Genomic DNA, 16,423 nt, shown 5'->3' with positions numbered 1-16,423 from the left:
GCCTCAAGGTCCCACTCCCCTAAATCCCCACGCCATCTCTGCCAAAGCAAAGGATAAAGTTTAGACACATCACAAGGAACATAATTGTTTTTGTTGCCTCCCTGTAAGACCAAGAATGTAGTAATCACACCTGAGCAGACCCTTTCACAAGATGTTGTACAAATTAATGTGTTCCTGATACATTCATTCTCCTTTGTAATCCCTCAACAGAATTCCTCTTCTCCCTATCATAACCTGTGTCGCTGGGATTGTATCCACAAGCTTCTGAAGCCCTCTGAGGGGTGGGTAATCACGCTGTGATTCTTCCTGTGTATACACGTTAAGTAAATTTGTATGTTTTTTCTATTAATGTTCCTCATGTTAGTGATTTTCAGCCAAACCTCAGAGGGCCAAGGAGAAAGGTCCCCTTGGCGCTTACAATAGTGTCTGCTGGTAGTTTCATGTGGTTCTTGGTAGAACTTACCGGTTCAACTTGTTCTTTCACTATGTGTGTATTTAGAGCTAAGCAAGTTTACTATATATGTGTATATATATATATATATACACACACACACACATATACACATACGTATATGTATATACATATATTATATATATATATATGCACAGTAATGGTTCTGATCAGTTGGCCTAAGAGTACACCCTATGTGGGGCTTCACGTACTGCTACACTCACAGGCAGAATTGGGGGTTGTTTTTCTGTCCAGAGTGATTGATCCTGATTACAAGGGGACAAGCGGGTTTCTTCTACATAAAGGAGAATTTTGTCAAGAACCCAGGAGATTCACTGAGACCTTTTTTAGTACTTCCTTGTCTAATGTTTCGCTGTTGGAAAACTCTGGGAACCCAACAAAGACAAGGAAGGAAGGAAGGTTTGGGCTATCCTTCTAGGTAAAGAATCTAGTCTAGCGAGGTCCTGACAAAGGCTAAGGGTAACTTGAAAAGGTGCTAGGAGAACAGAGTTATGCAATATTAGCTACCTAATTTGCAGATTACATATATATGTATACACATATACATATGTGTGTGTGTGTGTGTGTGTGTGTATATATATATAACTGCTCTTTAGCTGACACCTTGATTTTAATAATAGTCCTTTTCTTTTCTTTTTTCTTTGAGATGAGGTCTTGCTCCATTACCCAGGCTGGAGTGCAGTGGCACAATCATAGCTCACTACAGACTCAAACTGCTGTACTCAAGCAGTCCTTCTGCCTCAGCTTCCCAAGTAGGTAGGACTGCAGGCACACACCACCACACCCAGTTAATTTTTTCTTATTTTTTATTCTATCTATCTATCCATTTATTTATTTTTGAGACAGAGTCTTGCTCTGTTGCCCAGGCTGGAGTGCAGTGGTGTGATCACAGCTCACTGCAGCCTTGATCTCCCAGGCTCAATTGATCCCCTCGCCACAGTCTCCTGAACAGCTGGGACTACAGGTGCACACCACCACGCTCGGCTAATATATATATTTTTTAATTTTTAGTAGACATGAGGTCTCACTATGTTACCCAGACTTGTCTCAAACTCCTGAGCTTAAGCTCTTCTCCTACCTTGCAAGTTTATAGTTTTTTTAAAATATATTTTATCTCCTTGATTGAAAACTTCACGAAAGCACACTTTGTGTATTTTTGCCAGCATCTGGAAGATGTAAACCTATCGCACAGCAGATGTTCAATAAATGTTGAGTGTTGAGACAAAACTTGCTTAATTTTTCAAGCAAGGTTTGGAAAATTACCTCTTTATTTGTATTATAAAAGAAGTCAAAACCCCTTTACTAACTAGATCTAGAAGAAAGTTTATGATGAGAGTAGATTATTAGTAGTGCTTGATATTCCAGGAGTTATGTACAATTTTAATAGGCTTAAATAGACCAAACTAACTCCCCACATTTAAATTAGAATGAGAATCAATAGGATCTAATCTTACCTTTTAATGTAAAACAATTTAATTATGCTCATTAGACACATTTGCCTGAATTGTATCTTAATTTTAACTAAGTATAATGAAAACCAGAGAGATCAAGATTCCTGAATTTGCTGGATGCAGAAAATGATAGGCTAACAATTATATTTAACTGCTATATAACATTGTTTCTAGCAGCTTCTCTTAACTCTTTGTTCTCTTTCAACTTTAAAAACAGTCCTCATTTAAGTATGGCAAAAAGAAAAAGCAGAAGGCGTTTCTTTTTTTAAATATATTTTTATTATACTTTAAGTTCTAGGGTACATGTGCACAACGTGCAGGTTTGTTACATATGTATACATGTGCCATGTTGGTGTGCTGCACCCATTAACTCGTCATTTACATTAGTTATATCTCCTAATGCTATCCCTCCCCCGTCCCCCAACCCCACAACAGGCCCCGGTGTGTGATGTTCCCCTTCCAGTGTCCAGGTGTTCCCATTGTTCAATTCCCACCTATGAGTGAGGACATGCGGTGTTTGGTTTTTTGTCCTTATGATAGTTTGCTGAGAATGATGGTTTCCAGCTTCATCCATGTCCCTACAAAGGACATGAACTCATCATTTTTTATGGCTGCATAGTATTCCATGGTGTATATGTGCCATATTTTCTTAATCCAGTCTATCATTGTTGGACATTTGGGTTGGTTCCAAGTCTTTGCTATTGTGAATAGTGCTGCAATAAACATACGTGTGCATGTGTCTTTATAGCAGCATGATTTATAATCCTTTGAGTATATACCCAGTAATGGGATGGCTGGGTCAAATGGTATTTCTAGTTCTAGATCCCTGAGGAATCGCCACACTGTCTTCCACAATGGTTGAACTAGTTTACAGTCCCACCAGCAGTATAAAAGTGTTCCTGTTTCTCCACGTCCTCTCCAGCACCTGATCTTTGACAAACCTGACAAAAACAAGAAATGGGGAAAGGATTTCCTATTTAACAAATGGTGCTGGGAAAACTGGCTAGCCATATGTAGAAAGCTGAAACTGGATCCCTTCCTTACACCTTATACAACAATTAATTCAAGATGGATTAAAGACTTAAATATTAGACCTAAAACCATAAAAACCCTAGAAGAAAACCTAGGCAATACCATTTAGGACATAGGCATGGGCAAGGACTTCATGTCTAAAAACACCAAAAGCAATGGCAACAAAAGCCAAAATTGACAAATGGGATCTCATTAAACTAAAGAGCTTCTGCACAGCAAAAGAAACTACCATCAGAGTGAACAGGCAACCTACAGAATGGGAGAAAATTTTTGCAATCTACTCATCTGGCAAAGGGCTAATATCCAGAATCTACAAAGAACTCAAACAAATTTACAAGAAGAAAACAACCCCATCAACAAATGGGCGAAGGATATGAACAGACACTTCTTAAAAGAAGACATTTTTGCAGCCAACAGACACATGAAAAAATGCTCATCATCACTTGCCATCAGAGAAATGCAAATCGAAACCACAATGAGATACCATCTGACACCAGTTAGAATGGTGATCATTAAAAAGTCAGGAAACAACAGGTGCAGAAGGCATTTCTAACAGGTTGACTGTGGTGCAGGAACATAGGGGAAGAATGTAATGAGTTGCTAGTGTGGGAACCTCGCAGAGGTATCCCTGTGGCACAGTGCCCTCTGGTGTTAGGAAGGTGTTCTTTCACTATGTGTTTAGAGCTAAGCAAAGATCACGGGAGCGTCCAACACATCTCAGACCTAAAGCACAAAACACTGTTATACAACTTTTGTGTATTTGCCAACAAAAAAAAACTTCTGATTTACTCCCAGTGTTATAATTTATGCCCACTGTATTAACCCGTTCTCTGCTATGAAGAAATACCTGAGACTGGGTAATTTATAAAGGAAAGAAGTTGAATTGACTCACAGTTCTGCATGGCTGGGGAAGCATTAGGAAATTTCCAATCATGGCAGAAGGTACCTCTTCACAGAGCAGCAGGAGAGAAAATGAGTGCCAGCAGGGGAAATGTCAGACACTTATAAAACCATCCGATCTCATGAGACTCACTCGTTATCAGGAGAACAGCATGGGGGAAACTGCCCCGTGATGCAATTACCTACACCTGGTCCCACCCTTGACACATGGGGATTATGGTGATTACAATTCAAGATGAGATTTTGGGTGGGGACACAGCCAAACCATATCACCAACTACCCTACATGCTTTAAAAATTTTTTACATTATTTTATTTTTTTTATTTTATTTTATTTTTTAGAGACAAGGTCTTGCTTTGTTGCCCAGCTAGTCTCAAACTCCTGGCCTCAAATGATCCTCTCACCTTGGCCTCTCATGCTGGGATTATAGGTGTGAACCACCACACTGGCCTCCTACATACTTTTTAGGAAAGTGGCTGTCAATAGCTCTGCCTTGAGAAGTGAAGCAAAATTATGTGATATGCTACAAATAATGTTACAAATAATAGAAGTTTGTACATAACCATCTCTCTATGGGTTTGGGGCAAAAGAGTCTTCTTCATTATCAATCCTTAATTACTCATTTGAATAATTTTTGCTTCTGGTTCCTACAACCTTGGGCTGGATGATTTTGAAGAAACTAATCCCTGAGGGAAGAATGCTTCTATCAGGGGCATAGTCATGGTTCTGATCAACTGGCCTAAGAGTACACCCTATGTGGGGCTTCACGTACTGCTACACTCACAGGCAGAATTGGGATTGTTTTTCTGGCCAGAGTGATTGATCCTGATTACAAGAGGACAAATGGGTTTCTTCTACATAAAGGAGAGTTTTGTCAAGAACCCAGGAGATTCGTTGAGACATTTTTTAGTACTTCCTTGTCTAATATTCTGCTGTTGGAAAACTCTGGGAACCCAACAAAGACAAGGAAGGAAGGAAGGTTTGGGCTATCCTTCTAGGTAAAGAACCCAGTCTAGCGAGGTCCTGACAAAGGCTAAGGGTAACTTGAATAGGTGCTAGAAGAACAGAGTTATACAATATTAGCTACATAATTTGCAGAACCCAATGCAAAATAAAAATGTAGGGCTCCTTGTTAATTTCAATCTATTTAATAGGCACAGTGGAGCAGCAACTAAGTGTAGAGCGCGCTTCTAAGTATTGAGTCCTGTGTGACTCCCCAGGTTGTGCATCCATGGAGCTGGTGCTAGTGCTATGATTGCTAAATTAGCCCTCATGACCAGAAAGAAGTATGGCCTGTAGAAGTTATGTTTTTTGTTACTTTTTTTTCCACTCCCCCAACTTTTCCTTATATATGTATCATATATAAAGAATACTAGGAGTGGCTAACTTTTTACTTCTCGTGAGGGAATATGATTGAATCAAGATCACTCCATGATGATACACATTCTGAAGGGACTTCATGTGTCCCTTGTGTTGGAGGCACACACTTTTCATGTGGATGAAAAGCTATAGAGGATGTTGAAGGGGAAAAGGTGTGGCCTGTACCAATGGACTGCTGGGCCATTGGCCTCCAGTTGCTTCCAGCCAGTGAGACCCTCAGCAGGAGTTGGGAGGGAAGAAAACAAAATCAGGACATGTATACCCCTGGCTCTTCCCAGGAGGAGGTTGCCTTGTGCTGCTGATGTTTCACAACCAAAGGTCACTGCTGATCTCATAGCAATAACTACAGAACACTTCCCTTCTAGGTTCCAGCAAATGCTGGCTACCCTCACCCTGCCTGGCCTACATGTGGTTACAGATTTCCCACAATTACTATTTGTAGGATCCTGACTCCCTATACTTCTCATCTGTTTTAAATAAACCCTCTTTAAATTACTCTAACCCGAGTGTGCCCTCTGTTCTCTGTTGGAGCCCCGTGTGATATAATCATGTTCCTCAGCTATAAAATGGTGATAGAAGTAATAAACCTGATTCCAGAACTTGTTGGGAGGATAAAATGAAAGTACAAGTATACAAAGTACTTTGCAAATTCTAAAGGGCTATAAAAGTTAATTATGTTTGGGGAAATGAATGCTCTAGCCGGTTACCCTCTCTGGTTTACTCTAGATTTATTTGGAACCATTATGGATAATATTCCTCAATTTGTTTTCATTTTTGTCATATCTCTTCTTTGCTGAGAGCTTTTGCTATGATTTAACTGTGTCCCCTAAAGTTCATGTGTTGAAAACTGAATCCCCAATACAACTGTTGGGGTGTGGAGCCTAGTAAGAGGTGATTATGTCGTGACAGCTCTGCCATCATGATTGGAGTGATGTCATTATCTTGGGAGTGGGTTAGTTATTGTGAGAGTGGGCATGCTATAAAAGTGAGTTTGGCCCCCTCTTGCTCTTTTGCTCTCTTGAGCTCTCTTGCCCTTCTGCTTTCCACCATAGGATGATGCAGCAAGAAAGCTTTCCCTGGGTATAGGCCCCTTGACCTTGGATTTGCCAGCCTCCAGAATTTAAGAAATAAGTTCATTCTCTTTGTAAATCTCCTAGCTGTGGTATTCTGTTATAGCAATACAAAATGGACTAAGACAGATTTAAAATAGCTTTGAGAGGCCTAGCGTATGAGGAATACATTCTGGATAGCTTTTAGGAGGTTCTGAACCTCATCTCCAAAGGGCATGCTTTCCTCCAAAGTAAGTTGTAAATGTGTAGAATTGTGCATTTGCCTTTGGCGTCCCTCCCTTCTCATTTCTTTGCAGAGTATCTGTGCCATTCCCTGAAGGTATCTGAGCACCTCACACTTTTCTTCATCCTTCCTACCTCTATTAAAAACAGTTTCCAGGAAAGGCTGTGAGTTCATTTTTACTAAATAAATGGCTGCTGGACTTTGATATGTGGCCTTACCCGGATATCAAAAGCATTGTCTGAAGCAGGATTTTTCACAAACTCAGCACTATTGACATTTTGGGGCTAAATAATTATTTGTTGAGGGAAGCCACTGTTCTGTGTACTATAGGTGCTTAGCAGGATCCTTGACCTCTACCCACTGAATATCAATAGCACTCTTCTCCCAGTTGTCATGACCAAAACTGCTTTCAGACATTGCCAAATGTCCTATGGGGGCAAAATTACTTACAGTTAGGAATACTGGTCTAAAAAAATGAAAATTCTTCTGTACAATCTTTTGGGCCTCATCAAATAAAAAAAAAATGCATATAAGGGCAGTAACTGGAAGGTCTTTCTAAAAATACGGAACTTGAGTGCTTGCTGGTAAAGAATCACTTGGTTCTCTGAGTTGTATAGTCTGATAGTTTTTCCTCCAAACAAATCTGCACATATCCATGTTGTTTCTGAGTACTTCCCACCCAATGATTCAATTATGGTGATGTGATTATGAATAAAAACATTTTTTCAAGTCCTGTTTCTTATAGCAATATATGAGTAATTTGTGTATACATAAAAAATATTCTGAATATTAGCCAAAGTTCTTCAGAGAAACAAAATCATCTATCTACTATCTATCTATCTGCCATCTATTTATCTACCTACCTACCTACCTATCTGAAGAGAGAGAAAGAGGGGAGGAGAGAGAGAGAGAGACAGACACAGAGACAGAGAAAGAGACAGAGAGAGATTTCTTAGAAGGAATTGGCTCACAAGATTATAGAGGCTAAGAAGTCCCAAGTTCTGCAATTGGAAAGCTGGAGACCCAGGAGAGCCCATGGTAAAAGTTCCAGTCCAAAAGCCAGCAGGCTCAAGATCCAAGAAGTGCCCATTTTTCAGTCAAGTTTGAAGGCACAATGTTCCAGCTCAAGCAATCAGGCAGGAGGAGTTCCCTATTACTCAGCCTTTTTGTTCTACCCAGGTCTTTAATTGTTGGATGAGGCCCACCTGCATTAAGGAAGGCACTCTTTACTCAGTCCACCCATTCAAATGTTCATCTCATCCAGAAAATCTCACAGATACAAGCAGAATAATGCTTAACCAAATGTCTGGGCATCCCTGGTCCAGTCAAGTTGACATGTAAATTAATCATCATATCTTCCCATTGACCTGTTGGACTATTTTAAATTATCTCTCAAGAACTGAGTTTGGGAATGTTGATACCAATATTTCAATCTGAGACACTATGCTAGTTCAAGGATATACATAGCCAGCTGAATTTTTCAGTGAGAAGCAGCTTGGAAGCTTAATAAAATTGGAGTCCTCTGCTGGTACAACCTACTTGGGAGCCAACAAGACCATGGTGCCACATTCATGCTTTCCCCTAGCCATCATAAGCCCCTATTTCTAGCAATCAGATAGAAGAAAACAGAAATCCAATTCATAAGATACAATAGTTACAGTAAATGCTAAACAGAGGTAGAAGAGAGGCTCCAAAATACAATGACAGTAAACTAGATGATTACTTATTTTTCTGTTACAGCTATGTAGGGCCCCAAGTTCCTTTTATCTTTTTGCTCTAGTGCAGTGGTTGGTAAACTTTTTCTGAAAACACTAGATAGCAAATATTTAAGGCTTGCAGCCCAACACGGTCTTTGTTGCAATTACTTAAGTTCTCTGTCATTGTGGTGCAGAGGCAGCTATATATACTTTGTAAACAAATGGACATAGCTGTGTTCCAATAAAACTTTATTTACAAAACCAAGTGGCTGCTCTATGGGTGATAGCTTGTTAACCCTTTCTCTAGAGGGTTCTCATCTGCATGGTTGTACTTGGGTTGCTGGCATTTCTGCATTTCAATTTGCAAAAAAAAGAGTGGAATTGCTTATTCCAAGTGTTTTAAGGCCCAGACCCAGAAGTGGCACATAGTTACTTCTACTCATATCTCACTGGTCCAAACTGAGTTGCATAGCTTCTAGGGAGGCTGAGGAATCTGGTCTCTAGCTAAAGAGTCATGTACCTCACTTAATTTCTGTTATTGAGGGGAAGAAAATATTTTGGTGGAAAATTAGTAACTACTGCCACATGACACCACCACTTGGGGGTAATTCTGCAAATTACATGATTCTCTCTCTCTATCTTTTTTTTAAATGTAATTTTATTTTAAGTTCTGGGATACATGTGCAGGAGTGCAGGTTTGTTACATAGGTAAACACGTGCCATGGTGGTTTGCTGAACCTATCAACCCATCACTTAGGTATTAAGCCCCACATGCATTAGCTATTTATCTTGATGCTCTCCCTCCATACCCCCCGCCCCGACAGACCCCAGTGTGTGTTGTTCCCCTCCCTGTGTCCATGTGTTCTCATTGTTTGACTCACACTTATAAGCGAGAACATGTGGTGTTTGGTTTTCTGTCCTTGCATTAGTTTGCTGAGAATAATGGCTTCCAGCTTCATCCATGTCCCTGCAGAGGATGTGATTTCATTCCTTTTTATGGCTGCATAGTACTCCATGGTGTATATGCACCACATTTTCTTTATCCAGTCTATCATTGATGGGCATTTGGGTTGATTCAATGTCTCTGCTATTGTGAATAGTGCTGCAATGAACATATGCATGCATCTATCTTTATAATGGAATTATTTATATTCCTTTTGGTATATACCTGGTAATGGGATTGCTGGGTCAAATGGTATTTCCGGTTCTAAGTCTTTGAGGAATCGTCACACTGTCTTCCACGATGGTTGAACTAATTTACATTCCCACCCACCAACAGTGTAAAAGCATTCCTATTTCTCTACAGCCTCGTCAGCATCTGTTGTTTCTTGACTTTTTAATAATTGTCATTCTGACTGGTGTGAGATGATATCTCATTTTGGTTTTGATTTACATTTCTCCAATGGTCAGGGATGTCGGGATTTTTTTTTTTCATGTTTGTTGGCCACATAAATGTCATGTTTGTTGGCCACATAAATGAGAAGTATCTGTTCATGTCCTTTGCCCAATTTTAATGGGTTGTTGGGTTTTTTTGTTTTGTTTTTGAGACAGAGACTCACTCTGTCACCCAGGCTGGAGTGTAGTGGCACGATCTCCGCTCACTGCAAGCTCTGCCTCCTGGGTTCATGCCATTCTCCTGCCTCAGCCTCCCGAGTAGCTGGGACTACAGGCACCCACCACCACGCCCTGCTAATTTTTTGTATTTTTAATAGAGACGGGGTTTCACTATGTTAGCCAGGATGGTCTTGATCTCCTGACCTTGTGATCCACCTGCCTCGGCCTCCCAAGGTGCTGGGATTACAGGCATGAGCCACCATGCCTGGCCTTTTAATGGTTTTCTTCTCTTCTTCTTCTTCTTCTTTTTTTTTTTTTTTGTAAATTTGTTTAAGTTCCTTAATCTTAAGCAAAAAGAACAAAGCAAGAGGCATCATGCTACCTGACTTCAAACTATACTAAAAAGCTACAATAATCAAAACAGCATGGCCCTGGTACAAAAACAGACACAAAGACCAACAGAACAGAATAGAGAGCTCAGAAATAAGACCACACATCTACAACCATCTGATCTTCAACAAACCTGAAAAAACAAGCAATGAGGAAAGAATTCTCAGTTTAATAAATGGTGCTGGAAAAACTGGCTAGCCATATGTAGAAAACAGAAACTGGACCCCTTCCTTACTCCTATACAAAAATTAACTCAAGATGGATGAAAGACTTAAATGTAAAACCCAAAACTATAAAAACCCTAGAAGAAAATCTAGGCAATACCATTCAGGACATAGGCACAGGCAAAGATTTCATGACAAAAACATCAAAAGAAATTGCAACAAAAGCAAAGATTCTCTCTCTTACTGCAAATTTTATTTAGTTAGGAGTTTTTTTTTTTTCCTTAGGAAATAACTCTCATAAACTATTTTCTCAGAATGTAATGCATAATCTGGATAGTATATACAACTTAGACCTTATGTTCCTCAAGAATATATCTACTAATGCCTATTTTGTTTTAGGCTGTTCTGTGATTTGTGCCTTTAGAGAGTTTACAGTCTGCTTGAAGAAATAAAATATCTCAACATAAAGATAAGCAATACAGGGGATGAAGCCAAGATAGAGGACTAGAAGGAGCTCATATGCGCCATTCTCACAAAAAGGAAACAAAAGGGCTAGTGAACACTGACCCTGCAGGTCAATCATCTGAGAAGCCATGTTGGGATCCATCAAGGCAGCAGGAGAACACAGGGAGCAGAGAGGAGCAAAGGTGGGCACCAGCCTGTGTGGGCTCAGCGTAGAGTCAGGAGAACCTCTCCAACATGGCAAAGAGTGAGAGAGAGCCCCCAGGTGGATTCATGCTTTAAAGACTGGGAATAGGACAATCCCCTCAGCCTTCCCATGACCCCTCCCCCTGCACTATGCTTCTAGACTGAGGCAGAGAGCCACACAGATGTGGGAGCAACTCTTGGATTCAAGGGGACCTCTACAAGCCTTGGGCTGTGAAGCAGACTAGCACCAGCACATCAGCCCCAATAGAGGCCACAGTTGTGGTGCCTGGGAACAGTAAGATTGCTCCACCCCCTCTTGCTGAACGTGGCTCGGAGCTTCCAGTCCAGCAGTCTCTCTTTCCCCTAAACTCGGCCAGCCACTCCACCCACCCACACCACCCCAGTGCTAGCCAGGTGGCCAATGCTTGCTAGAGCTTCTAGCCCAGTGGTCCCACTTCTGTGTGAACTCAGCCAGAGAGTGCAGTCTCCTATTGTCCTGGGAAACACCCAGACAGTAGGGTGCATGATCCCATACATTTCTGATACTGATAGCTAGGTGGGCAACACCTGTAGAGCTTTGGGCCCAGCGATCCTGCTTCTGTGGAAATTCAGCTAGTGGGTGCAGCCTCCTGTTGTTCCAGGAAGCATCTGGACAACAAGGCAGTTATCCTCACCCACTCCCACCACTGGTAGCCAGGGGAGCCACATCTGCTAGAGCTTCTCGCCCAGTGGTTCTACTTCTGCCTGAATTTACCAAAGAGTTCAGCCTCCTGTTGCCCTGAAAACCCCTACAGCAGGGCAGGCAACTCCATCCATCCTCCCCTCCCATAGCCAGACAGGCCACATCCACTAGAGTTTACAACCCAGAGGTCCTACTTCTGCCTGAATTCTGCAGACAGGCACAACCCATGTTTTCCAGGAAGTACCCAGACAGCAGATTAGGGCTGACTTGGCAAGGATACAGCTTGTCTACTAACTGCAGCCCCTACCGAAGGGAGCCCAGTGGACCAGAACACTCAACAAAAGAAACGTGGGCATGGAAACAGTAATCAGAGGAGGCTTCTCCAAGACCCAGTAGTGAACAAGAATTGAATCCAATCAACTGAACTCACCTTATATCATACATAATCAAATTTCCAAGGGCATCAAAGGACAACAAAAACAACAACAAAAACAAAAACAAAGGACAGCAACTTCAAAGACTGAAGGAACATCAGCCCACACAATAAGAAAGAGCCAGCACAAGAACTCTGGCAACTCAAAAGGCCAGAGTGCCTTCTTTCTTCCAAGTGATCACACTAGTTCCCCAGCAAGCATTCTTAACCAGGCTGAAATGGCTGAAATGATAGAAATAGAATTCAGAATATACATAGGAATAAAGGTCATTGAGATTCAGGAGAACATTGAAACCCACTCCACAGAAGCTAAGAATCACAATAAAAAAATACAGGAACTGATAGACAAAATAGTCATTATACAAAGGAACCAAACTGATCTGATAGAGCTGAAAAACACACTACAAGAATTGCATAATGCAATGGCAAGTATTAACAACCGAATAGGCCAAGCTGAGGAAAAAAATCTCAGAGCTTGACACTGATCCTCTGAAATAACTGTCAGACAAAAATAAGAAAAAACAATAAAGGAGAATGAATAAAACCTCCAAGAAATATGGGATTGTGGAAAGAGACCCAATATATGACTCATTGGTGTGCCTGAGGAAGAAGGAGAGAAACCAAGCAATTTGGAAAATATATTCTAGGATATTGTCCATTAAATCTTCTCCAACCTTGCTAGAGAGGCCAACATGCAAATCTGGGAAATACAAAGAACCCTCGTGAGCTATTACCCAAGAAGATCATTCCAAGACACATAATTATCAGTTTTTTCAAGGTCAAAATGAAAGGAAAAATGTTAAAGGCAGCAAGAAATAAGGGCAGGTCACCTACAAAGGGAACCACCAGGCTAACAGTTGACCTTTCAGCAGAAACTCTACAAGCCAGAAAAGATTGGGGGCCTATATTCAACATTCTTAAAGAAAAAAATTTCTAGCCAATAATTTCATATCCCACCAAACTAAGTGAAGGATAAATAAGATCCTTTTTAGATAAGCAAATGCTAAGGGAATTCATTACTATCAAACCTGTGCTACAAGAGGTCCTGAAAGGGGCACTAATTATGGAAAGAAAAGACCATTACCAGCCACTACAAAAACACACTTAGATACACAGACCAGTGATACTATATAGCAATGTTTATAGTATGCATAATGACCAGCTAACAACATGATAATAGGATCAAATCCACACATACTAATATTAACCTTCAATGTAAACAGGTTTAATGCCCCAATTACAAGGCACAAACTATACTACAGGGCTACAGTAACCAAAACGGCATAGTACTGATACAAAAACAGACACACAGACCAATAGAACAGAATAGAGACCTGAGAAATAATGCCACACACCTATAATCATCTGATTTTTGACAAAGCTGACAGAAATAAATAATGGGAAAAGGACTCCACATTCATAAAATGGTGCTGGGATAACTGGCTAGTCATATGCAGAAGATTGAGACTGGACTGCTATCTTATAACACATATTAAAAAAATCAACTCAAGGTAGATTAAATACTTAAATGTAAAACCTGAAAGTATAAAATCCTTGGAAGATAACTTAGGAAATACTATTCTGGACATAGGACTTGTCGAAGGTTTCACAACAAAGATGCCAAAAACAATTGCAACAAAAAAAATTGACAAATGGGATCTAATTAAATTAAAGGGATTCTGCACAGCAAAATAAACTATCAACAGAGTAAACAGGCAACTTATGGAATTGGAGAAAATATTTGCAAACTATGCATCTGACAAAGGTTTCATGTCCAGAATCAATAAAGAACTTAAACAAATTTGCAAGCAAAAAACCAACAACCCCATTAAAAAGTGGGGTAAGGACATGAACACTTTTCCAAAGAAGAGATACATGCAATCAATAAGCATATGAAAAACGCTCAACATCACTAATAATTAGAGGAATGTAAATCAAAACCAAAATGAGACACCATCTCATACCAGTAAGAATGGCTAATATTAAAAAAATTTTAAAAAAAACAGATGCTGGCAAGGTTGTGGATAAAACGGAATGCTTATACACTGCTGGTGGGAATGTAAATTAGTTCAGCCATTGTGGAAAGCAGTGTGGTGATTTCTCAAAGCTCTTTAAACAGAAATACTATTTGACCCAGGAATTCCATTATTGGGTATATACCCAAAGGAATATAAATCATTCTACTATAAAGACACATGCATGGTATGTTCATTGCAGCACTATCCACAACAGCAAAGACAGAATTAACCTAAATGCCCATCAACAGTAGACTAGATAAAGAAAATGTGGTGCCTATACACCCTGGAGTACTATGCAGTCACAAAAAAGAATAAGATCACATCTTTTGTGACAACATGGATGGAGCTGGAGGCCATTATCCTAAGCAAACTAATGCAGGAAACAGAAAAATGAATATTCACGTTCTCACTTATAAATGGGGCCTAAACAATGAGAACACATGGATCCACTAGGAGAGGAACAACAGACCCTGGGGCCTACTTGAGGGTAGAGGGTAAGAGGAGGGAGAGGGTCAGAAAAGTACCCATCAGGTACTATGCTTATTACTCAGGTGACAACATTACCTGTGTGCTAAACCTCCAAAACACACAGTTTGCCTATATAATAAACCTGCACATGTACCCCTAAACCTAAAATTAAAGATAAAAAAAGGATTGAAAAAAGATTCGCAATACATTTTCAATAGCTGAATCAGATGCTGCAATATAAGCATTAAGAGAAGGAGGAAGAGATAATTGGTATCTCATATCTAGGATATGATTTCCTATTTTCAAGCTGAGTTGATAAAACTGCCTTGTTTTGCATGGAAACAGTTGGGAACTGAAAGGCTTGTCCTCAAAAAATTGCTTTTTTGAGTCATATATTTTAATTATTATTATTTTTTTGGAGACAAGAGTCTTGCTCTGTAACCCAGGCTGGAGTGCAGTGGTATGATCTCAGCTCACTGCAACCTCCACCTCCCAGGTAAGCACTTCTCCTTCCTCAGCCTTCCAAGTAGCTGGGATTACAGGCACGTGACACCATGCCTGGCTAATTTTTTTTTTTTTTTTTCTAAGTAGAGATGGAGTTTCACCATATTGGTCAGGCTGGTCTCGAACTCCTGACGTCAAGTATCCACCTATCTTGGCCTCCCAAAGTGCTGGGATTACAGGCATGAGCCACTGCACTCAGCCTTTGAGTGATATATTTTAATATTATCAGCACTTGATTTCAAGAGACAGAAACCCGCTCAAGCAAGTTTAAACAAACAAAAAATGGCATGGCCAGATTCAGAGGCTTTAATGATGAATCCAGTCTCTATCTCTGCTTCCCTTCACGTGCTAACTTCAGTTTTACGAAAGCTATTTCCATGTGCCAGGAGAAAAGGGCCACTAATTTTTCTATTTTATCTTTACATCTTTGTAGCTCAAGATCCCAGAGGAAGAGGAGCCATCTTTCCCAGTGGCTTTACCGGAAAAGTCCCTGAGCCAGTCACTGTGCCCACTGGAAGACAAATGGAGACTTGCCAAGCTTTGGTCATGAACTCACTGGGACTGCAGGAGACTGGGTCAGCCCCACCAAAATAATGCAGAAGGTAAATACTTGGTTTTTCAAAGGAAAGGTGGGAAAACCCAGCCCAATAAATGTGTTTTCCTTTTGGTCACACAAATCATATACAATATGTGCTCATTTTATAAAATTACACACTCCCCACTACATTTTAAAAAGGATATATTGACAATGTACTATTCTTGCTTTATAGAGATGATAGATAGGTGATAGATAATAGATTAGATAGATGATAGAGATAGATTAGATAGATGATAGCTAGCTAGCTAGCTAGATAGATAGATTAGGGCATCAGTGATAGGGTCAGTATAGGCCTGGGTGCTGGAGCTACAAAGATGAGTGAGGCCTGGGGTTTCTAACCTCATGAAACTTATAGAAAAACTTAAATAAGTAAACAAACATTACAAAACAGTGTAATTATCACTAACAGGTTTGATATTAGAAAATAATTTTGTACAAAGGAATACAATTTTTTAAAGTATTATTTCTTTCCTTCTTTGGCTTTTGAGGGTACAAATGTAATGACAAACATGCTGGATTGGGAGTCAGTAGGCTTTGGGCAACCTCTACCTCTGTGACCTTAAGCATGGACAAAAATTACCACTTTGGTTCTCCGTTTTCACTAGTGGAAAATGAGAAGGTTGAAGTATATGATCCCCTAGATTCCTCTAAGTTAAAAATTCTAAATATTTGCATGCATGAGACTATAGTAATCAATGGTGACTTCGTTGGAATTCTTGATAGGTCAGGATGTATATAA

General features: G+C 40.1%; 1 long non-coding RNA gene across 1 annotated transcript in view, besides 1 other annotated feature; it reads left to right on the top strand.

Annotated features, from left to right (window-relative positions):
• TARS1-DT (TARS1 divergent transcript) overlaps window positions 1-16,423 on the top strand; it is a 32,713-nt gene that overhangs the window by 969 nt on the left and 15,321 nt on the right. Inside the window, exon 2 of the long non-coding RNA XR_001742630.2 lies at window positions 15,520-15,688. This is a non-coding gene — a long non-coding RNA (TARS1 divergent transcript). The remainder of the gene's footprint in view (window positions 1-15,519; window positions 15,689-16,423) is intronic.
• Window positions 3,640-3,689: a silencer, noted in NCBI's record as "silent region_15962". NCBI's record gives its function as "represses an Ori minimal core promoter by ATAC-STARR-seq in GM12878 lymphoblastoid cells {active_cell/tissue: GM12878}" and the evidence as "EXISTENCE:reporter gene assay evidence [ECO:0000049][PMID:35858748]".

Source organism: Homo sapiens, chromosome 5 (genome assembly GCF_000001405.40).
Source record: "Homo sapiens chromosome 5, GRCh38.p14 Primary Assembly".
In the NCBI taxonomy this organism is placed as follows: domain Eukaryota; kingdom Metazoa; phylum Chordata; class Mammalia; order Primates; family Hominidae; genus Homo; species Homo sapiens.
This window is presented reverse-complemented; position numbering and strand designations above follow the sequence as displayed.